At 33.9% G+C, this 24,855-nt stretch overlaps 1 long non-coding RNA gene and 1 pseudogene across 1 annotated transcript in view; one reads left to right on the top strand and one right to left on the bottom strand.

The window, feature by feature from the left end:
* Positions 1 to 15,042, top strand: part of LOC105373667 (uncharacterized) — a 210,228-nt gene extending 195,186 nt beyond the window's left edge. Inside the window, exon 3 of the long non-coding RNA XR_923422.4 lies at positions 14,091 to 15,042. This is a non-coding gene — a long non-coding RNA (uncharacterized LOC105373667). The remainder of the gene's footprint in view (positions 1 to 14,090) is intronic.
* Positions 23,345 to 23,870, bottom strand: RPL17P12 (ribosomal protein L17 pseudogene 12; annotated as a pseudogene).

Here is a 24,855-nt window from a genome sequence, read left to right as displayed (position 1 = left end):
TTAAAAGGCAACTATTTAAAAGTATGAAAAACATTCTTACCTTGTAGACCATACCAAAAATGTGGTGGTCTGGATTTGATTGATAAGCCATAGTTTGCCAACTTCTGTTCTAATTTGTTTACGGTATTGTTATAATTTTTTATATCCTTGCAAATATTCTCTCTTTGTTCTATCAATTATCTATCAATTATACAGACAAGAGTGTTTAAACCTGTGGATTTTTCTATTTCCCCTATTAATTTTATCTGTTTTTAATATTTCTTATATTTTGGAGCTCTCTGTGTGCAAATACTTTTAAGAGAATTGTAGTTGGAATTTGTTGAGCTTCTTGCATATCTATCTATCTGTCTATATCTGTCTATCTATCTATCTATCTATCTATCTATCTGTCTATCTATGTAAAAATATATGCCTTTTGCCAAGTTTGGGATGCTTTCAACCACAGTTTCATTAAATACACTTTGTGCAAAAAATCTTTTATCCACTATTTCAGGAAATCCAATGTCAAAAATGTTAGATATCTAAATATTATTCCACTGGTTTCTAAGGCTGTGTTCATTGTATTTTCTATATTTTTTCATTATGCTGTTCAGGTTAGATAATTTCTATTGTTTAATTTTACTGTTTTTTCCTCTGTCATCTTCGTTCTGCTATTCATCCCTTCCAATGATTTATTATTTATTTTTAAAGTTTTCTTTATTTTTAATTGACAAATAATAATTATATATATATTGAGGCAAACAAAATGTGATGCTTCAATCAAATGAAAAAATCAGATTTTTACCATATTCATCAGCTCAAATACTTGCCATTTCTTTATGATGAGAATATTTAAAATCCATTTTTTAGCTATTTTGAAATACACAATACATTATTACTAACTGTAGTCACCATGCTATGCAATCAATCAGCGGAACCTATTTCTCCTATTCCACTGAAACTTTGAACCTTTTGACAAACATTACCCTTTTCCTGTCCACTCCTCCATCCCACCACACCCCAGCCTCTGGTAACCACCACTCTGTTTTCTACTTCTATTAGTTCTTTTTTTTAGATTTCACATATAAGTAAGATTATACAGTAGTTTTCTCTCTGTGCCTGGCTTATTTCACCAAGCATAAGGTACTCTGGGTTCATCCGTGTTGTCACTAATGACAGAACTTCCTGCTTTTTACAAGCTAAATAGTATTCCAATGTGTAATTTTATTTTACACATTGGAAAATGAGCAAATTTCTCTGTCTTAAAATTTTCATTTGCTTCTGTTTTATGGTTTCTCTTTCTCCAACTTTCTGTTCATTTGAATTGCTCATGTTTATTTCATAAAATATGATTATAATACTTCTTTAAAGTCTTTGGTAATTCCAACATCTGGTTCATCTCAGGATTGTCATCTATTGATTGTCTGTCTCTTGATTGTTGGTCATATTTCCCCGGTTCTTGATAGTTTGCGTTACTTTGGATTGTATCTTGGACATATGGAAAGCTATGTTGTGAGAAACTGGGTTTTTTTAAAATCCAGTGGACGCTATTGAGTTTTGTTCATTAGTTTTAGCAGACAATCAACTTAAGTACAGAATACAAGTCAAACTGCCTTTTGTAGTTAGTGAATCTAAAGTAAGTTCAATTTTTAAAGTGCCTACTATATTTTTTGCATCTGCCTCTCATCTGAGCAACTCAGAGGATGAGCTAGAACTTGGGCACAGGTTTAATATAGTAACTCACTTTCCAAATCTTCTGCTCTGCTTTCAGGGTATGTTCTGTACATGGACAGCTTAGGATGAGCTTAGAACTTGTGTTGGTTCATATACAAATTTAGGTATCTTTCTTCAGCTCCACTCCTCTCTGAGATCTCTCCCACACACTCCAGTATCTATGAGCTGGTTTGTTCTGGTTCGTCTAGACAAAATCATGAGATTCTCTCAGTGTTTTAGCCTCCCAAGCTGGTGTGCAGTTCCATATAACTGGGCCTACCTTTCGGGGCAAGCAAAGAAAGACAATATAGAGAAAAAATTGGAAATCTTCTGCAAGGGGACCCCATTCTCCATTTCTGATTCTAGAATGATGACTTTTTTTTTCTTATGTCATTAGGTACTTGTGTCACTGCTACACTACTGCATTGCCGTTCTGTGACAGGACTGGATTTGGTGTGGAACTTAGAAGGTTAAAAACAAACAAACAAACAACAGGAGAAGAAAAACAATTCTCTTTACTCTCTTCAGCTCATAGAGGGCTTTTTTATCCCCCTGGTCTGCTAGCCAGAAAGAGATTACTAAGAGATTTCGATTTATTTGTCTTGCAATGGGGAGCTAAAGAAGAAAAAAAAAAAAAACTACATGAAACCAAACATGACCATATTGGTTGTTCCTCAAGTTTTCATGTCTTTCCCAGTTCTACTGTTGTCATCTACTTTTCACGTTCTTCAGGTGGTTGCTTTTTGTGTTTTGTCAGTTTTTAAGCCGTAATCAACCTTAATGTGTTTCCATCAAGTGGAATTTTCACCTCCTCTCTTTTTAAATTCTGAGGCAATATGCACACATACACTGAGAAGTCCTAAAAAAAAAAAAGAATGAGTACTTTGTACTTCTTCATAGCAAATGTTCTAATTTACTTAGCGGTAAAAGTTACAGTGTTTTTTTTTTTGTTAGCATCAGATAAGTTTGGGCATTTGGGAATAGAGCTCACATTTATGAATAAATGGTCTGAGTGATAAATGAGAATTGCTATTTCTAGAGAAAGTTATTTCTTTCTTCAGAATCTTGATTTCCTTAAGATCCTTTATAGAACTGCAAAGACAAATGATCACATTTGATTAGTTATACTGTGATACCTGAATAAATTAAATAATATTTAAACGTTAATGTTATATCAGATCTGTAATTAGTTTTTATCCTAAAAAGATAAACTGGTCAAATCATTCTCAAGTAGTCATGCAATATTGCCAAAGGACATTACAAGGAAATATCTTTTCATGGATTTAAAAATAATCTGATACCCTCTAATTAAAAAAAATGATATACATGTCACAATTGAAATTTATGATTATTAAATGGTACTGAAAAGACATTGAACCTATTTAAGCATATGTTTTGAATATTTTTATTAACAATTATTTCTACAAGTGTCTCACAATGTATTATTTAACATTTAAAATTAAAATTAAAATTAGTGAGATTCCAAACACCCAAGACATTGAAAATCAACTCTTGTGCCATGGAGTAATTGGGGCTAAGATAAAAGTTACAGTCCACAAAAGGCTAAATATTGATCTGTTCAGTTTGCATCCATTATTGCTGATCTTTCAGGATTTAAATATCGATTGGGCACTGCAGTTACGATAAGCTAGAGCAAAGACTCATCCATATTGCAATGTTGGGCAAAAGAAAAAGAGTTTTAACCTCAATAAGCCTATGGCCTAGTTGGAAAATGCCATCTTCCTTCTAAATCTTTAGCCTGCCTATGAAAAAATTAATAATTTATTGAAACATATTTTATGACAGGACTTTCCCTTCTGTCTCTCTGGCATGCATCCAGTGTACACTATGAAGTAACAGTTGGAAAATGACCTCCACTTCTTCAAATGTGTTGTTTCTTTAGTTTGCTTAATGTTAATCATTTATTTGAAAAAAAAAAAAAAAACTAGAAATGCTTCTCAGAATGGCTAAACTTTCATGCTCATTGTGGCTCTTTGCCAGAGTCTAATATGACATCAGAGTGATGTTACTTTGGCTGTGCCAGCCATACTAGAATTATAATGCATTGCTGTGATGATATATTAAACATTGACTTGGAACCCGAATACATAATTGTTAATGACAAAGGGAAGCATGATTTAATATCTCCTATGCCGCCCTCCTCTTCAGCTGCCCCCACTCCCCGAGTTGCTTAGGGCCATGTCTTCTCAATGCATTGTCATTATTTCAAGTAGTACATAGCACACATTTGTAAGTACCTACCAAAATTTCCTTGTTGGAAATATTTTATATATAATATAGCACTCCAAGGATTTTCCCATTGTTTTATGTTTTAATAAAGCAAAGTTAAAGTCTCAATTTTATCCCTGTTTCCCAATAAAGAGTACAATTGCTAGTTAAACATTAAATACCTGATTGTTGATAGATCAAAAAAGCATTAAAAATGCCTTGAAATGTCTCACACTGAAGCTCATTTGTTTTCAATCTGTCCAGAAACCATATTTGTAAACTCTCAGCCAACTTTTCAAAGGAAAAATATCCTTCACATTTTTACCAACCTAGCAGAATCAACTTCTGCCATATTGTCTCATTGACATTTATTTCTTATAATAATCAGCAAAAAAGTGTTATTGTGAACAAAATCACAAGGCAAGAAGTTCATGATGCCCTTGAGTCACTAATTTATATTTGTCTTTCTCTGTTTTCTGGAGATATTTTTCATTTAGTTTCTCTTTCAAGTATCATCTTAGCTGTCAGATATTTTCCTAAAAACCCTACAATGTGATTTCAGAAATGTCTTAAATTTATTATCTTGAGAAGAATCTATAAGACACTGATTTCCCGTTTATCTTCATTTTTGTGTTTCTAACGTCTGACATTATTTGGCCTTGTGAGTTGCAAGAAAAGATATAGCTCACAGTTTAATGACAATTTCCTCTACTCTGCCTTTTTCAAGTTTCAAATAATCAGATATTTTAAAAACAGTTGCTATTAAACAAGTAAAAATTTTCAGCTTCAGCTCTTTCTTCACATTTTTTGTTAGGAATAATAGACAAATTTGGGGGCCATAAACTCTACCGAATTTCTTCATAAACTATTCATGTGGAAGGATTTTAGACAATTGTTTTGTCCTAGAACTAGTAAAATACATTGTAGGATCACAGCTTCTCAGTTCGTAGACCATCATCCACCTTGACTTATGATATACATTTTTGAATAAGTGAAAGTTTCTCCACAATTTTATATTTATAATATTAACATTTTATTTGGGAAATGGGGAGTGTTCTGTGGACTGCTTTCATTTTCATTCCCATTTCTCTAGCAATTATAAATTTGCTTGGAATAAAACTAATAACATGCAGATTTTAGTTACTGACGCTTTTCAAGATAGCTCTTTCTAATGTATAGTCTTAGATTAAGGTTCAGTATACTGAAAGAGAAGTTAGGGGATAGTGAGGAATAGCAAGAAAACATTTTGAATACATTATGTTTGGATGTCAAAATTGCGTTTTAATGATAGAGTTGGGTTGATAGAAGGAAAAAAAATGTTTCATGAAAATACCTTAGGCTGGCAAGTTTTGCAGTTTTCGGGAACATTTTTATTTAAATTATTTTCCCTGTCATATGTAGCCGGAATGGTCTATGGACTGTTACAGCACAGGAAAGTGACAGTGTTTACCCTCTTGCTGGATAGCCACTGACAGAGAGATTCAGAGGCATAGAGGATACACTTTGTGTAGTTACTTTATAGTAATCACTATACATGGCACATAGTAAAATCATCCTCCGTTCTCAGGGTAAAAATGTCTACTGTCCCATTAGCTTGATCATGTTTTTCAAATAACTATTACTAAAAATGTCTTAAAATTCTCACTATTTGCCAGAATTCATTGAACTACATTCGTGTTTCTCAAGTTGTATGGCATACCATAATATTTACATAGGGTACTTGCAAAAATTTTGGATTCTGGATCCTTGGGGACAGATATGTTGAATCCGATTATCTAGAAAATTTTACTCTGTTTTTGGTCTTTCACATTCCTGGAACAGTATACATGTACTGATCATTTAAGGAAGGATCCTTTATGATCTATCTGCTCCAACACAAGTAGGTATTGTAATCCCAGCATCAATAAATTGATATTATTTTTCAGAATTGCCTTTTCTAAACCATGTTGGATAAACCCATACACATATTGAGAATTATATGGTTTCACAGACTAAGGCATGCAAGATATTGTTGCTTTTTTAGCTGAGTTTGGATAAATTTGTAATAGTTTACTCAGTTTGGACTAAAACTCCATTTTAGCAGTATATGAATATAAAATTATAAACTTGGTAACTTGATTTTTTTTGAACCAGAATAGTACCATCTCTGAAAAACTGACAAAGAATGAAAGAATGAGCTAATTCGGTCTGAATTCATTATCAGCCATATGACCTTGAGCAAGATACTGATTTCTGCCTATTTAAGTTTCATGAACAATAAAATGGGATAATAGTACATATCCCATAGTACTGTCATGAGAATAAAACCACGTAATCAGCATGAAGTATTTATCAGAGTGCCTACCATATATAAAATCAATGTTTTGCTATTGCAATTGTTAAAACTGTTTCAAAATATATACTTTCTTTTTATTATACTTTAATATTATTAAATATACATAATAATATATTTAATAATATTATTATGTGCACATATTATACATCTGCACAACGTGCAGGTTTGATGCATATGTATACATATGATATGTTGGTTTGCTGCATCCATTAATTCATCATTTACATTATGTATTTCTTCTAATGCTATCCCTCCCTCATCCCCCCACCCCATGACAGGCCCCCGTGTGTGATGTTCCCTGCCCTATGTCCAAGTGCTCTCATTGTTCAATTTCCACCTATGAGTGAGAACGTGTGGTGTTTGGTTTTCTGTCCTTGGAATAGTTTCCTCAGAATAATGGTTTCCAGCTTCATCCATGTCCCTACAAAGAACATGAACCCATCCTTTTTTATGGCTGCATAGTATTCCATCGTGTATATATGCCACATTTTCTTAATCCAGTCTATCATTGGTGGACATTTGGGTTGGTTCCAAGTCTTTGCTATTGTGAGTAGTGCCGCATTTGTACTCTTGCCCAGGCTCTTTAGTATTAGAGGGAGACTACCATTTGCAAGTAAAAGCCTGGTTATCTCCCCAGAGCTTTCAAGGCCTCACTCTATTCTCACACTCTCCTCATGTTTCAGATTTATCCTCTACTACTCCCTCAAAATTGACTGTGTATCAGTCATGTTGTTCTCCGTGCATCCCCCATGTACCCTCTGTTCTTCTTGATCCATGTGACTGAATGGAATCTCCATGCTTTACCAGCTGTTGAAATCCAACAACCCTTGGCCCAAGCTCCTGGAAACTTTTCTGGTCTACAGAAGCATCTCTGATCCAATCATCAAGATCCATTCTACTCCAAGTTTGGTCTACTCATCAGTGACAAGCCAGCCACTGAGATCTTGCAGAAATGCAGAATCTCAGACTCCATATCAGGTTTATGGAACCTGCATTTCAACAGGTTTCCCAGGTGATTTTGATGCACATTCAATTTTGAGAAGTGCTGACCTGAAACACTTTGAGCAGTGGTCATCAATTTAAGCTGTGCACTGGAATTACCTGTGATCCTCTAAAAAATGACTCCTGTCTTCCATTTCCAGATACTCTAATTCCATTGGCTCAGCTTTTATCCCAGAAATTTTGTTTCCCAAATTCTTGATGAGCTCAATATGTAGCCAAGTTTGACAACTCCCAACTTAGAGTCCAGTTAGCACCATTATATATGATGTGTCTCCTCCAATTTTTTACAGAATCCAATCGACTTCAAATGTGATATAGATAGATATGTACATATGTATATATATACACACACATGTGCACACACACACACATACACACAAACATATGATTTCTCTGAAAAAGTGATAAAGTAAAATTATCCATACTAACTTTAAAAACAGCTGTAATTTTTCTTGCTACCATTGTCCAGGTGTAGATACTTATAGCAGGAAGGAAATATATAAAAGTTATTATAGCTTGCTAAGTTCCAAAATTCCATGAAATTGAGGTCTATTATCTTCACATTTTTTATAAGAAAACTTTAGAAAGATTAAGTAACTTGTCCAAGGTTACACATCTAATAAGCAGCAGCATCAGTATATTGACCTCAGTCAACTCCTATGCCATTTGCCTTCCTACATTAACAGACAAATGATGGTACAGAGCAATAGTGAAATCATCACTCTCAGTTCCTCTGTTGAACTAATTATTGAATCTAACTCCTTTTCATTCTCACTCTAACTGCCAGGTTCTACATCTTTTGTGTGAATTTTTGCAATAATTTCCCAGTTGCTCTTTCTGAGTCCAGTTTCTCAGTTCTTCATTTCGTATTGTTTCCAAAGACAGCCCTGTAAATCATAAATTGCATCATGTCCCTTTCTGCTCTACCCACATGATGGGATCTTCCAGTATTACAGTCCGCCATAATTTGACACCCACCTGATGCCATTGACTATTCCCTTTTCTCAACTTGCGATGTCTTTCCTCATCTAAAATGCCTGATGTTCTTGTTATTCCTGAAGGTTCATGTTAACTAGCCTCTAAAGCCTATTAAAATATGGTCTGTGCTTCTGAAGTCTTTGTAAATATTTAAATTATGAAACCTATTGTAAAACTTTTTTCCATTCACTGTCATGTTATATTATTTTTAATATTTGCCAGTGTGTGGTACAGTGCCAGGATGCACTTTTGGAGAAATGGTCTTTTGAGGCCTGGAGACAATGGAGAAAACCCTATGTCAGGAGTTGTCCATTCTTTAAACACATTTTATATCCAAGACTCATCATGGGACCCAAAGTAATAAATGCTTTCTGCCCAGATTTAAACATGCTTTAAATAAATTTTAAAGAGGTGTAGTGAGGCAAGGAGTTAGCAAAGTTTGTATTCCAAGACTTTTCTCCTATGATGAATTTTTGACATCTGCAACACTGTTCTTATGCACTAATAGATCTAGGCTGTATTGTACTTCTGGGTTAGCCATAGATGGGACCCCTCCACTTTGTCTACCATTAAATATTAGAGGACAAATAAAGGGAAATATCCTACAGAAAATAAAATTAAAGAATATCAGGGACTGGCCTTGTGCAAACTGACAATGGCGTGTCACATGTTTAACCCTACAGGGAATTTGGATAAAAAGTAAAAATATAGACATTATATCTGACCATCATTTCTCACATGGAAAGGAAGTGGCTTCATTTCCTTTTGAAGGGTCTCCTTAACAATATGTCCTCGCTTTTTGCATAGACATGATATCCTATTATGTGTCATAATCCCACACCTAGCTTACTCCTCATATTCTTGATGCTCAACAAATATAGGTTTAATAAATGAATATTTATTGTCTTAAAATATATCTAGACTATTTTGAAGAAACAAGAATGTTTTACAATTACCATATATGAAGGTTGTTTTCACCATCTCAAAATCCATCCCATTATATAACCACCACATATTAAATATCACTTTTAATAAATCAAGAGAATACTACCATGTGTATCTGTATTAGATTCACATTTAGAGATAAAGTCAATTATTAATTATTCAAACACAACTGCTTAAACCATGTTAATTCTCAAAAACAGTTAATTTTGCATTTATGTATACAAAAAAAAACATAACCACAAACACAGAAATTTTACCACGGTCATTTGACTGAATTGGTTGATTAACCTGAACATAGAGGTTCAGTCATTTGATTGAGCCAGATACTACCTTACAGAACTTTAATCCATTGGCTAACATATCCCATTTATCTCAATGTTACATATACTTCTGGTTTGCATTTAACACAATTTGGCTGCATTTATTTGAGTGATTAAAGTGACTAAATAAGTTCCAAGACAAGTCTTAGAATTGTACAGCATGGATGTTGACAATACATTTTCAAATGCCAGGAATATTTTTGGCACTATCGTAGAAAATAATTTCAAGACCTGATACAAATTTGCTTGCAAGCCTTCCTCTTTATTTTTCAGTATATTTTAGTGAGGGACTCCTGTGAGAAATTAGCGAGGTCTCTAACACAGAATTTAAATTCTTACTGGCCAATGGAATTCTGCAATTCCATTAACACAAGAGCCTACATAACCAAGATTTATATTGCCAGAAACTCTTGTTTGATTTATAATCTGGTAATCCTTTTATCCTCCATTTATATGCAGTATTACTTGACGTAAGTGCAAGAATGCCTCTGCTAATAGAATTCACGAATAGTGGACCAAGACATTTTTTTAGATCATAAAGCCTCCATGAAAAGAGGCAGAAAGCGAAAGCCTGAGCCTGGCTATGATGGGATAATGGGATCTGGCTTTAGCATAGTCTCATAAATGAAACTCATGTTAAAACTACTGATTTCAGAACAATAGATTGGCATAAGGTTCTCTTTAGATGGGTCTGCTCCCTCAACTTAGCCCACAAAAGTATTTTACCAGTCCTTGAGTCACAAGAGAGTTTAGATACTTGTAATTTTTGTTACAGTTTATATTAAAAAGTTATGTGGACTTAAGAAGTATATGTATATGGAGAGAAGCAAAGAAAGTGGAGTCAAGAGGGAGAGAAAATCCTAAACATCATTTCTGGGATACAAAGAAAGCTGGATATAAATGAATAGTCACCAAGTCCACTTTATCTATAACATGCCGTCTTTTAATCAGACACCAATCAAAACAAACAAAAATAATAATAGTAAACTAAGTGTCCAAGGTTTCTGTCAGTTACAACCTTCTCTGTACTATTCAGCTTCCACTTCCTTTCCCCCACCATTACATCATATTTGTTTACTATACTTTGAACTTGGTTTGAGAAATAATTTCTGTTACTGTTTGCCACTCAATAATAAAATGTTGTTTCTGTCTCTTACCATTCATCCAAATGCTGATTTTGAACAGGCATTATTTCATTTTCATGATTTCTCTGTACACATTGCAAAATTCTTATTTGAAAACCTCTTAGATGTGTAAAAAAGTATGTTAGCCCACAGCCACACATAATATATGCATGGAAAAATCTAGTAGAATGGTGCTCATCATTTTGGGGAAGTATAGTGAGATATCAAGTGATTTGGGGGTGTTTGCCTTTGTACCTTATGTGTTTTTTAAACTTTCTACTTGAATACATATTATTCCAGAGTTTCAGAAAATTCAAAAGCATTCTTGTGAAGAAGTAAACTTTGAAAGTGCCTAGATTAATTAAACAAGGATATGGTGGAGCATAATGATCAGGTCATAGGAAGGCAGTGCTTTACTTAAGAGGTCATCCGAAATAGTCTGCTATTCAAAATGTTTCAACCATCTTTGAATTTTCTGTGATTTAATACCACTCTCTTATCTACAATATGTCTTTGATACTTTTGTCATTTGACATCTTAAAACTTACATGATATGGCATCACAATACTTGATAAACTGGGGTTAAATGTGGTTTAAGGTCAATTTAACCACCTAAACAATATTAAAATAAATTGCACAAGTAAAGCAGAATAAAATATTGTTTACTGTAAGTTTAATGGCTTCAGACATTGGATAGTAAATGTGAATACTTAATTCTACTGAATTAATAGTTAAATTATATTTTAATGATTTGAGAGGCAGAGAAAAAAATGGGATAGAAATCAAGGGAGGGAGAAATGGAAAGGCAGAAGTAGAGTTGGATGAAGAGAAAGGAAAAAAGAGAGAAAGATATATTAGTAATATTCAGCAAGATCCTATGCCCAGATTGAAATCTTGACACACTGTTCCCTTAGTTGATGAGAATGTGAGTCAGCTTCAAAATGTCTCTGTGTCTTCAAAAGAGAGATTACTATCTATAGGATCCCACGCCACGAACACTCTGCCTTGCAGTTTGTGCTGAATACAAAGCTTGGCATCATAAAAGTTGTACAACTAACTCTTCCTCTATTAAAATGCATATATTTATTATTAATTATTATTAAATTTCTTAATTTTAGACAATTAGGGGGCAATGTAGGAATTTTGTTGACTCATTAGGAAAACCTAATGTGATATTCCAAACAATGCAACACTGTATTAAAAGTCTGTATTTATAGCATTAATTTTAAGTCCTCATTTGAACTGTTATATTAAAGAAGAATACAAAAAAGGTAAAAGGTAAATCTCAAAGTTAAGCTGGGAGCTTTGCCTATTTAGTTTTCCAATTTGCTGAACACACAAATAAGCTCATACCACCCTGCAAATTAACTTGACACCTTCTTTCTTTTTTATCTATTTCCCTCTCTTTGGCCCTCTTTCCATTTTTTTTTCTCTCTCCTCCGTATCCCTTCTTGAAAATGTTCTTCCACCCCAGTACTGTACAAATAGAACTTTGCGTGTTTCTATGTCAGTTCTGAATTCCATTCATTTATTCACAATGATGAGTAAAGACAAATTATTAAATTCACTTCTAAAGCAGTTAACGTTTTCAGAATCTTCATGTGTTACAGCAGTTCATGATTCAGTCAAAATGAATCAAATAAAATATTGCCTATGTTTTATATTCTTCTTCCCTGTGTCTTGCAATCTAGTTGTACTGAAATAAAATTAGGAAGTTGCTTGGAATTAATTTAAGCATTATACTGCATTATACTAAAAGTAATCATATGTGTAGTGCATTACTGTAATGCATTATTTCTTATTTTCTAGATAATGATTACATCTGTGATACTATAGAATAATACCGTAACTAGATTCAATTTTTCAGCAAAATACACTTAATTCTGGTAATCATTTAAAAATCGGTGCGTTACAATGTCTATAAGATTGTACTATTATGAACAAGAAGAATGCAGTATTTATACCTTTTTTAATATCTGTATATGAAAAAAGTCAGCGACTGATTGCAAGTATTATATCATCTTGAATTACAATAGGCAAAATAAGGACCAGGGGAAAAATTTGGCATTCCAATATTAGCTTAAATCCTTGTTAGCATGTTTTTTAAGCAATGTGCATGTGTGTGTAGTGTATATGTGCTTAAGCAAAAAATTAATACAGAATAGAAAAGATTGTGTTCCATGTGTAACGAAAAATAATATAAAATAGTTGATAAAACATTTTCTTGGAAAACTCATTTTTTTAAGTTAGTAACAATAGATTGTCTCCAGAGGCAGAGAAATGAATTAATGCATCTCTAAATATCATTTCAGGTTGTTTAATCTGTGAAAAATTTTAAAACTAATTTGGTAGAAGTTGAAGAATTAGAAATATATAAGTTTAATTACTCTTAAAAATCTTACAATTTGTTGGAAAAGTTAATTCTTTGATTCTCAGTTTTTTCCTTAGAATGAGGACAGCATTTCTCAATGTTACTATGTAGATAAAATGATATAACAAAAGTTAAACCAACTAGCATAAATAAGTATGCTTTCTCTCTTCCTTTCTTGCTCTCTTTTTTTCAGATATGAGTTTGTCCTTATTTTTAGGGATTTTATATGTGTGAGGATAATTATTTTCCTATACTTCTTAAAATAAGAATATTAATATGACTGCCCTTGGTCTTATGGAATTATCTCTTCATTTTAAGAAACTATTGAAGGCTTATAATAAAATAACATCAATTAAATATATTACCTCTAAAGTTTGTGTTTAGCTTGCTGGATTTTCTCTCTTTTTTGAGAGCAGTAATATAAACCACGTGATGAAAATATTTTTTCTTCCCTTTTTATTGATATATCCCCAGTGTCTAGAAAATACCTCAGACATATTTTGCACCCAACAAGCATTTGTTGAACTGAAAGTATAATCAAGTTTGATTTGCAGCACATTCTTCTTAGTCTGCTTTAATTGAATATAGTTTTGGCTTGGCTTGATTTTATTAAAAATGGACAATTAAATATTTTGAATAATTGAAAATTATTTTTATTATTTACAAAAAGGAGCAAATGATGCACATAATAGGAAGTCAATAAGTGGACTGGGGAAACAAAAATATTTGAATCAGTCTACTCATTTTTAGAAATAAATTAAGAACCTAAAGTTCATTCCAATTATTTGGAAAAAAGAATATTAGTTTACTACCATGGCTGACATGAAAAGAAAACTTACATAAAGTTAACAAATATACTCATTGTCTTAGGGAATTATTTTTGATGACAGTATGCAAAACTGAGTGTTCTGTTAAGTCCTGTAATTCAAAATTGGTAGGAAAGAACTGTGGAATCTGAACTCACTTAAATATTCCGTCTATTGGAATTTACAAGAGTACTTGAAATTTATGATATATGCTACTGTGCTTTTATTCTTCAGCTCATTTTATTAAAACAATTTTCTTTTACTTTTGATCTTTCATAATAATAAAAGCTTTGTAGAAGAGGAGGAAGACAAGAGCTACCATCTGGAGAGCAGAACGTTTTGGGAAGCCATCAAAGGCAAAGAACCTAAGAATCCAGGAAGATCTTGAACTATTACCCTTTACTTTAATTTTTAATCATGGAAATATTTGCTTGGAAAAGAGACTGTGTCTACAATGGCAACCATTTTTATATTCAGAAATTTGCCATGTAAAATAATTGAATGTCAGATGAAGAACTGCCTGTCATATTTTGCTATTAAAATAATATATTTTTATGCATAACCTGACCTGCCTTTGTGAGTTACTGTAGCCTGTGGTCTCTCTGCAAGATTTTCCAATGGGATTTTTAATAATATTCCGATGTTTGCCATCTTAAGCAGTGCAAGCTGTTAAACTCAATTTGTGAAAAAAAAAAAATCAGGTATAAAACCAGATAATCTGTATCCCTTTGGAATCAAAAGTCACTTTGCCAAAATATTTTAACACGCAAAATTGCTTCTTGAGAGATGTTTGTCATGATAAAATGACAGAAAACTACATTTCCATTATAATTATAACTGACTCGTGGTGCTAAGTTTTTATAATTTAAAGGTATTCTCAACTCTGACAGCCCTTCCATGTTGAATTATGCATCTCAGGCTCTTAAATAGTTCTGCTGGCACGAGACAGCTGAGATGAAGTTGTCTTTCTAAAATAATTGCTCCATGGAGCATCCATTATACCTTCAGAAAAAATGTATTACTTGACTTCTACAAATTATAGACTAGCCTATAATGGGTATTTTTGACAGCTATTAGCTTTAAAAAAATCTGAACAGTAAAATGAGTATTGATATCACAATGGTGTACCGTGCATGTTAATACCAACCTTCTCTGTACTTTCCTCCTAAAGCATGATGTAATCATTAATTATAATAATATTGATATAACTGCACTCATGTTAAAAACATAGTATTGGCAAAGTATGTAATTTTCTCGCCTATAAGATAAAAAGCATTAAATGAATATTTACAGTAGATTTTGAAGACACTGTCCAAGCTTGAAAGATAAAAAGTGAATTCATTTTTGGCAATATTTTTCTTAATCATGAGATTATTAAGTGTATTTTTAAAACATGAATGAGACAATAATCAATGAATAATAGAGGTAATAATTTTATTCCTCAGATTCTTCTTCAAAATGTTGAACACTGGTAAAAACATAATTTATCAATAAATTTTAGAAATGTTTTCCATTTCTTATCAAGAATTTTATGCATCATTTAGTTCTTAAACCAGTTCTAATTTTTTAAATAAAAACACTTGAAAACATTCTTGCAGGAACATTGCATCCCACAGAACAACAATAATCCAATTATTAAAATCTAGAATGGAAACAATATTGATAGAAATAAAAGTAAAGGGTCATTTTCTTTACTGTTTCCATTTGTACCAATTAATTCCAGTTCTATGAAATAAAATATTTGTGGTTAAATTTAGGGAAATTCTATGCAAATTTAAAGTTTTCTGTGATAAACAAATATAAGGTAAATATTTTCCTAGTGTATTGCATTGCCAGGGCCTTTTTTTTTTTTTTAATGTGACTACAGAGAAAGAAATGGCTTAATTTCCTACGTCTCCCCTGAATAAACAGTTCACAGACCCAGACACATATGGACACATACCTCCTACCTGAAAAATAAAAAAGTTACAATATATCACTAACTTAACATTAATTAACACATCAATCCATAGTGTAGCAACTGCCTAGTCTGTGCTACTTTGCCAAGTACTGATCAGACAGTTCTTACTCACAATTATTCCTTATTAACCGTATCCTAGAGGTTCATTCTTCTATACATGGCCAGAGCCAAAATTACCCAGATACGTGGTCTTTACAAATTCCCTTGGATTTAAATTCATCCTCCCCTCTCAGGCTAACAGTAGAGAGACAATTCCTGGGCTAAGTCCCTGCACTCGTTTTCTTTTGTGTTAGGGATTTGGTTGGATGATGAGGACGGGTGGGAAGTTAGAGGGAAACATAATACAGTTTTAGTGCATCTTTCCAATTCTCATGTCTTACTTTTATGTCTCTTATTCAAATGAAGTTAGAAGACTATAAAGTTAAAGAGATAGAGAAATATTTAGAAATAAATATTTAACCATTGTCTTAAAAGAACAAGAGTAGGAGGGAAGGAAGTAGAAAGAAACAGGTGACAGAGACTTTATACTTCACTATGCATTAGTCACACCCTTTATACTGGGTCCAATGGGTACAATCCAAAGTAGAGAAAAATGCTCTAGTGTTGGGATTAATAGTTTACGTTAAGGTTACCACAATTGTTTATGACAATCTAAGTTAAAAAAATCTCTTTTATATATTCTTTGCAGCTGATATTATATTAAACATTAACACACTTCTTTTTACTGGGTAAGAAATTTTGATAGCATGAGATTTTGATTTTTTAAATATTTATTGTAGTCACAAATTATTAAATTACGAACAAAAATTATTTATCTGTTTACACAATTGAGGCATTATAGATGGAGTTATCAAACAAGTATCTCCCCAAAGCAAAACCACTTATAGTAACAAAAGGATGATTTTTATTTCAAGGGACTTAAATAATGTATTTCTACATCCTTAAAACTCATCGAAAATTGGGTTTATGGGTTTTTAATTGGAAAGACTACCAAGTGGTGAACACTATCTGCTGGGAAGAACCTGTGTCTATAATATTCTTTCAAAAACCCGTGTCATTCCTGTGTTTACTATGAATAAAATTCAACATGTATATTATCTGTTTGTGTGGTATTTACATAAAATGTGAAAATTATACACAAAATCACCTGTGAAAATGCAATGGAATTTTGCATGATTTTAGTTACTACTTTTGATTTTTCTATAGCCTTCACATTTTACACAATACAAATAAGTTTTTATTTACTTTATGTAAGCAATGCAAAAATCTCTTCTTGTTGCAAAGTTTTTCAACAAAAATACAGCATAAAATGTCAAAGTACTTTTTCTGGATGTCTTGACCTTTCCTATCCCCTTTCAGCTCTCGAACCCTAACAACCCAGTGCTTTCCCAGGTGCAACTGATGTTGTTAGTGAGAACTGTCCAGACCTTTATTTTCCTCTAATTTTATTGTATACTATGTATGGAAAGGCTACAGGTTACCTAGTGGTTATTCGATGTCTCAGAATAGAGAAACAAAATCTTCCCCACAGCTTCCTTGCAGAAAGGGGTGTGATGTCCTTCTGGCCAATAAATATAAGCAGAAGTCATTATGTTAGGGTTTGGAGAAACTTTTTTTTTTTTTTTTTTTTTTGAGATGGAGTCTTGATCTCTCGCCCAGGCTGGAGTGCAGTGGCACGATCTCGGGTCACTGCAACCTCCACCTCCTGGGTTCATGCCATTCTCCTGCCTCAGCCTCCTCAGTAGCTGGGACTACAGGCACCCACCACCACACCCAGCTAATTTTTTATATTTTCACCGTGTTAGCCAGGATGATCTCGATCTCCTGACTTTGTGAGCTGCCCGCCTCAGCCTCCCAGAGTGCTGGGATTACAGGCGTGAGCCACTGCGCCCAGCCACCTTTTTTTAAGATTTAAAATGCTGGTTCTTATCCAGCAGCTACCTAATAAGAAGTCTGACCCTTACTTCTATTTTTCCATCTCTTAGCATATGCTTTTAAATTCAGTCCGACCAGCACTTAAGGAACATTTTCAATACAAAGCTTTAGGTTGTCTAGTAAGTGCATTCTTCTATTGAGATTTTCTTGAAGTTTTTATTTCCTAGTAACTCCCTTGCTTTCTGAATGTTCTGTCTTCATAGCAGCCTGTTCTTATTTGAAAAGAAATGTCCCCTCAAACATTCTAAAGATGCCAGCTATTATTTTGCTTTTAATTATTGCCTACTTTCTTTTGCACATATCTACTATTCTATGTTCTCATTTTGATCCTTTCTTTCAAGAGATTTGTTTCCAACATATTTATAGTTATGAATGATGAAGTCAATTATAATGAGTAGTGGTGTTGATTTCTTCAGGAGTTCATCGAAGTGTTTCCAAAAATAGACTGTTCCAAAAGCAAGGCCAACAGGCGCCTTATAAAGAGAGCAGTGGGGAGTTGTAGATTTTGTGTTATGCTGTTTAAATGTGAAGATAGCCACCAATTTCTGTCCTTCCCTAGATTCTAAAGTGAGGATGGCTTGATTTGGCTATTGGAAATCAAGTATTTATCCCCTCCATAGAGCTTTCTTTGTTTTTCTTTAGACCTGTTATGAAATATGTAACTATCCAAGCTTCTCTCTCACTCATGCAAGTGACCACCTGGGAAGCACTTTACACTTTCCACACAGGTCTCAGGATCAGTGCCTTTGTGGGCGAGTTCTTTTGTGGGTAATGAGATGGGGTTTGGAGAAGCAGTGCTGCTCTTTTGAATACATAACTGAAAGTGACTCATCTATTCCCAGGCCCACCTTTTTCTATGGATGTGTTGATTTCACATGTTTAGTTTCTCTGGATATATTCTATCCTTCCCCAAAGTTTTTCAAGATCTGTAATTTCTCTCTGTTCTTTCTACAAGATCCCTTTTAATTTTCTGTCTTTAATAGCTCATCATAATATCTAGGAGAGTCTTTGGCACACTGCTTGTTTCCCTAGACTGTTAATGATATTTACAAAAACAAAAACAAAACAAAAAAACATGTTTTCTACTGATAAGACATTTGAGAGGAAGGGGACACGGGTGGTGTGTTAGTCTGTTTTCATGCTGCTGATAGACATACCCAAGACTGGGCAATTTACAAAAGAAAGAGGTTTATACTGGACTCACAGCTCCACTAGGCAGTGCCCCAGTAGGGACTCTGTGTGAGGGCTCTGACCCCACCTTTCTGTTCTGCACTGCCCTAGCAGAGGTTCTCCATGAGGACCCCACCCCTGCAGCAAACTTCTATCTAGACATCCAGGTGTTTCTATACATCCTCTGAAATCTAGGTGAATGTTCCCAAACCTCAATTCTTGACTTCTGTGCACTCATAGACTCAACACCACATGGAAGCTGCCAAGGCTTGGCACTTGCACCGTCTGAAGCCACAGCCTGAACTATACCTTGACTCCTTTTTGTCATGGCTGGAGTGGCTGAGACGCAGGGCACCAAGTCCCTAGGCTGCATGCAGCACGGGGGCCCTGGGCCTGGCCCACGAAACCATTTTATTTCTTCCTAGCCCTCCAGGCCTGTGATGGAAGAGGCTGCCGTGAAGACCTCTGACATGCCTTGGAGACATTTTCCCCATTGTCTTGGGGGTTAACATTCAGCTTCTCATTACTTATGCAAATTTCTGCAGCCACCTTGAATTTCTCCTCAGAAAGTGGCATTTTCTATTCTATCACATTGTCAGGCTTCAGATTCTGAACTTTTATGCTCTGCTTCCTTTATAAAACTGAATGCCTTTAATAGTACCCAAGTCACTTCTTGAACACTTTGCTGCTTAAAAATTTCTTCCACCAGATACCCTAAATCATCTCTCTCAAGTTCAAAGTTCCACAAATCTCTAGGGCCAGAGCAAAATGCCACCAATCTCTTTGCTAAAATCTAACAAGGGTCACATTTTCTCCAGTTCCCAACAAGTTCCTCATCTCCATTTGAGACCACTTCAGCCTGGACTTTATTGTTCATATTGCTATCAGCATTTTTTTCAAAGCCATTTAACAAGTCTCTAGGAAATTCCAAACTTTCCTACATTTTCCTGTCTTTTGCTGAGCCTTCCAAACTGTTCCAACCTCTGCCTGTTACCCAGTTCTAAAGTTTCTTCCACATTTTCAGGTATCTTTTCAGCAGCGCCCCACTCTCCTGGTACCAATTTACTGTTTTAGTTTGTTTTCACGCTACTGATAAAGACATACCCAAGACTGGGCAATTTACAAAAGGAAGAGGCTTATAATGGACTTACAGTTCCACATGGGTGGGGAAGCCTCACAATCACGGTGGAAGACAAGGAGAAGTAAACTACGTCTTATATGGATGGTGGCAGACAAATAGAAAGAACTTGTGCAGGGGAACTCCTCTTTATAAAACCACCAGATCCCATGAGACTTATTTACTATCATGAGAACAGCAGGGGAAAGACTTGCCCCCATGATTCAGTTACCTCCCACAGGGTCGCTTCCATAATATGTGGAAATTCAAGATGAGATTTGAGTGGGGGGGACACAGCTAAACCGTATCAGGTTGAGTGGGAGTAGATGGTCATTCACATTTCATATTTTAACCAAGTCTTTTTCAAGCTGTACTTATTTATTCCAGAAAAAAATGGCATATGCCTGTTTGTATGTGCATGTAAACAATAAGATTAAAGTATTGACCCTACCCGTGTATGGGAAAAAAATAAGGAAAATTTTCTAATTTTTGTGTTTGTATTTTTTCATGTTTTCAGTAATAAGTATGTATTGGTTTTATAATAAAATAATAATTAAAAATAAGTTCTATAGAACTGCATTAAACTATAGTATGCCTACTTTAATCTTTGTAAAATGAAAATGACAAACTACTATGTAACTATTTTATGTGCCAGGTACTCCTCTAAGTAATTACTTTATGTATATTAAGTTAATCCTCACAGAAGCCCTTAGACATGGATACTATTATTGCTCCCTTTTTGTAGAATTGGGAACTGAGGTACAGATAGGTTAAAGAACTTTGCCCAAGGCAACATGGCCAACATGAACAGGAAGTGGATTTCAAATCAAGTTGTTTTGCTCAATTCACTAATGAAATGTGTGTGTTTTGCCCAGATTGGGGATAAGGGAAGAAACAGTAAGAAAAGGTGCAGGAGACAAAGACTAATTAGATATAGTCTGAGGATTGCTACTTTATTTTAATGCACCAGAATCTGAATAAAAATTAGAAGTAGTTTTTCCTCTGGATTGCAAGACATTGTATGTGACAAATATTCATGTTATAACCCTGCCAGAAATTTAAAACCAATAATTTTAATGAGATTCTTCTGAAAATATTAACAAGATTTCTTTGTGTGGTGGGTTTTATGGAATATGGCAAAAACCACTGTACACCAAGACATCTTATGGTTACTAACTTTTATTGTTAGAAAATAATTTCTTTAAATTTTCTGTCTTCAAATGTTCTAGATAAAATTTCAAAAATGTACATACATGAGAGAAGAACCTTTTTAATGAACATTTTAATGGCATATTCAAGCTGGCTTCTAACTAAAAACTCATGTCGGAGAAACTGTGACACCAAATAAACAACAGAGGAAAAGACTGAAATGTCAACATTTAGTAAAGAAGATGAGAGGAGACATATCAAATTTATTCACTATCTCCTCAGTGAAGTTGGCCTGGAGGCATATCATTATACACAAGACTTGAAATAATCACTCAATTTTACAATCCATACATTAAAGAAACTTGAGTTAAATAAGGGAAATATATTGAGATTATAGCTCAGAGTGGTAAATCTTTTCAGAATTCTTACAAATTATTTAATAGAAAACTTCTCATCTGACAGATAAACTTACAGCATGGGACTTGGAGAGGGGCAAGTAGGTAACTTAAGTGACACCAAGTGTAGATATTGTCCTGTGGAACAACATAGTACATGCAGAACACTGTGGTATCTACAAGTTACCAAACTCCTTAATAAATACTTCTTTGTTTAAAGTGGTTCCTATGGCCTTTTGTTGATTCAATCAAAAACGTGTTTTATTATTTTGAATCCTGACATTGAGAAAGCTACTTAATTTCTCTAAACAAAGTTTTCTCATTCAGAAAATATAAAAATTTTAATGATATGTACTCCTAAGATTGTTATAAGGATGAGGTAACTCAATATTTGCAATGTGCTTAGAACAATGCTGGCACACTGTTATGTTGCATGTGTATGAACGATACTCACAGGAACACATTCATTTTCTGGCATCCTATTGACTTCACCATTGTCTTTCTTAATATATTTGCCTTCTCATTCTATTTCGCCAGAATAAATGAGAATCTTTTTTTTTTTTTGTCCAATTGCTGAGTTAATTTTCAAGTTTCTTGAGCATACCGAGAATCTAAATTCTTGCATGTTGTTGACCTTCATTATAGGATATTAATATTGAGATTTCCTTCGTGTAAATGGCTTGGTGTATATTGTGAGTAAACTAAAATAGGTGTTTGAGAAAAAAAAATTTAAAGTTATCACAAATTATTGAAATGGTCTCTAAAACCTCCATGGGATTATTACAATGAATTTAAAACAAATCATTCCCTGGCTGGGTGTGGTGACTCACACCTGTAATCCCATCACTTTGGGAGGCCAGTGTGGATGGCTCACTTAAGTCCAGGAGCTCGAGAGCAGCCTGGGCAACATGGCAAGTCCCCGTCTCTACAAAAAGACAAAAAGAAAAAAAAAATTAGCTGGGCATGGTGACATGCACCTTCAATCTCAGCTACTTGGGAGGTTGAGGTGGGAAGATCACCTGAGCCCGGGAGGTGAAGGCTGCAATGAGCCATAATCACACTGCTGCACTCCAGGGTGACAGAGTGAGATCCTGTCAAAAAAAAAAAAAAATCTATAACATGCATAATAATACCTAAATCATTTATAAATGGGTGCTGTTATGTATTTTTATCATAAAAACAGCGCAATTCTATTATGTAGATTTTTAGAAATAAAGAGAAGCATAGGAAACATAAGTTCCCCTCTCCTACAAACATTGTTAAATTTTGATTATACCTTACTAATGGTTTTTAATTAATCTTATTTTTTAACAAAATTAGAAACATGTTGCATTCATTGTCTTGTAATCTGATTTGTTCATTTTACACTATAATACCTGTTTTGTTTTTAAACTCCTCTGATTGTAAGGTTAATATATATATATATATATATATATATATATATATATATATATATGTTGAAAAGGTTAAAAAATGCAGCAATGTAAATGAAGAAATATACTGAATACTTTCCTCAGGGAACATTTTTATTTTAGCTTTCTGTATATTTCTATGAAATATTTTCTTTACATATACAACCATATAGATGATATAATATAGTTACATATACTGTTAGTGTGGTGTTTTTACTTTATAATATATCTTGGCTATCTTTCCAAATCAGTACATTGAGGTCTGTTTCATTTCTTTTAAAAGCTGCATTTTATTATAGGAATATACCACACTCATTAAGCTACTACTTTATTGCTGGACATTTGGGTTGTTTCCAGTGATTTTTTTTTTCACTTTTAATTGCATTTATTTTATGCTGAATGTATTCCCATGCCATAAGTTTTTGTTCCTTCATTTTCTTCGGAGATATCTTTTTCTTCTGTGCAACTTCCTCTTCTGGTTTAAGAACAATTTGTTTCTATTCAGTAAGGATGATTTCAATGCAGCAAGGAGGGCTTCTTTATGTATGAGTTAATCTGACCATTAGCTAAAGGCATATCTTGGGTGCTTCATTCACCGGAATATGCTCGATGACCATCTGCTTGTAAAGCCTTAAGTTCAGCATGACTCTGTGCATATTTAAGCATGTGCAGCAAAAATTCAAGCCACCGATCCTATGTCCAGCTCCACTGTTTGGCCTGGGCACACCTACCAACTCCACCATTGTAATGTTGGAATGGTACATGCTGTTTCTGTAAAGTGACATCTTTCAGGTCACTTAGTGGCTTTTCATACATGCATATCCTTGATGGCCTGGGCAGTTTCACGAGTGTTCTTAAATGAATACGATTTGAATCTCTTGATTTGCATGACTTTGTGGGGTTTTCTGTGTCAATCGAATAGTGAACCATTTTCAAATATCACCTCAGGCCACTTAGGGGAAGACGTAGAGCAGTGGCTCCCCAGTTTCTGATATTACCAACAATGACCTAGTGAATCTGCTTATGTTCTTATTTTATGCACTGGTAACAGAATTTCTGTAGAATAAATTCCCAGAAACAGAATTCCTGAGTCAAGGGACAGGCACATTTATAATTGCATTTAGCTTTGATAAATTTCCCTATAATGTGGTTGTAGCACTGTATATGTCCTCAGAGTAGGATAGAAACTGTTCTCTACACATTGTATACTTTTAATGTTTTGCCTAAAAAGCAAAAAATAAATAATTTTTTCAATACTACAAATAGTCATTTTATTTTAGACTGTTGGATCTTTGAGAATTTTTCATGAGTGTCCAATATTTTTGTTGTTTTAGTGGGAAGTTGTTGCTTGAACATGATTGGGGATTTGGATGGAGTTCTTTAATATGTCAATGTGCTTACATGGCATATATGTATATGCAGAGAGAGACAGAGAGAGAAATCAAATATGCCAACATAAACAAGGCATACTTTCTGACTCAAGCTTGCATAGGCTAGAAACAAAATAAGTTTCTAGAAACTAAAGATATTGTATTATGTCAGTTTAGAGGAGTAAAGAAAGGCTCATAAAGAGGCAAAGCTTTTTGAACATTCCTGTGAAATAAATTGAATTACAATTAAACATAGACATTGAAAAAAGTTTTGTTTAAAAACTATTAGTTTAATATCCAGTTGTTAAATGGTCAATTAATTAAAATAATTAAAATCTGAGTTTGTGTGTAAACCTATTAGGTGCATTCCCCCAACACTTTATTAATTGTGATCAGCCGATCTTTGGCTGCTGCTTTGAAGGAGTTCCTGAGGACTCAACGAGTGAGACTGCAGATGCATTAGCAGCACTGAATAAGTGAGGAGAGGGCCTGGAAGTTCTGTGATCCATGATGAGCCTGCTATCTTGGGGAAATGTGAATAAGCA

Source organism: Homo sapiens, chromosome 2 (genome assembly GCF_000001405.40).
Source record: "Homo sapiens chromosome 2, GRCh38.p14 Primary Assembly".
Classification (NCBI taxonomy): Eukaryota; Metazoa; Chordata; class Mammalia; order Primates; family Hominidae; genus Homo; species Homo sapiens.
This window is presented reverse-complemented; position numbering and strand designations above follow the sequence as displayed.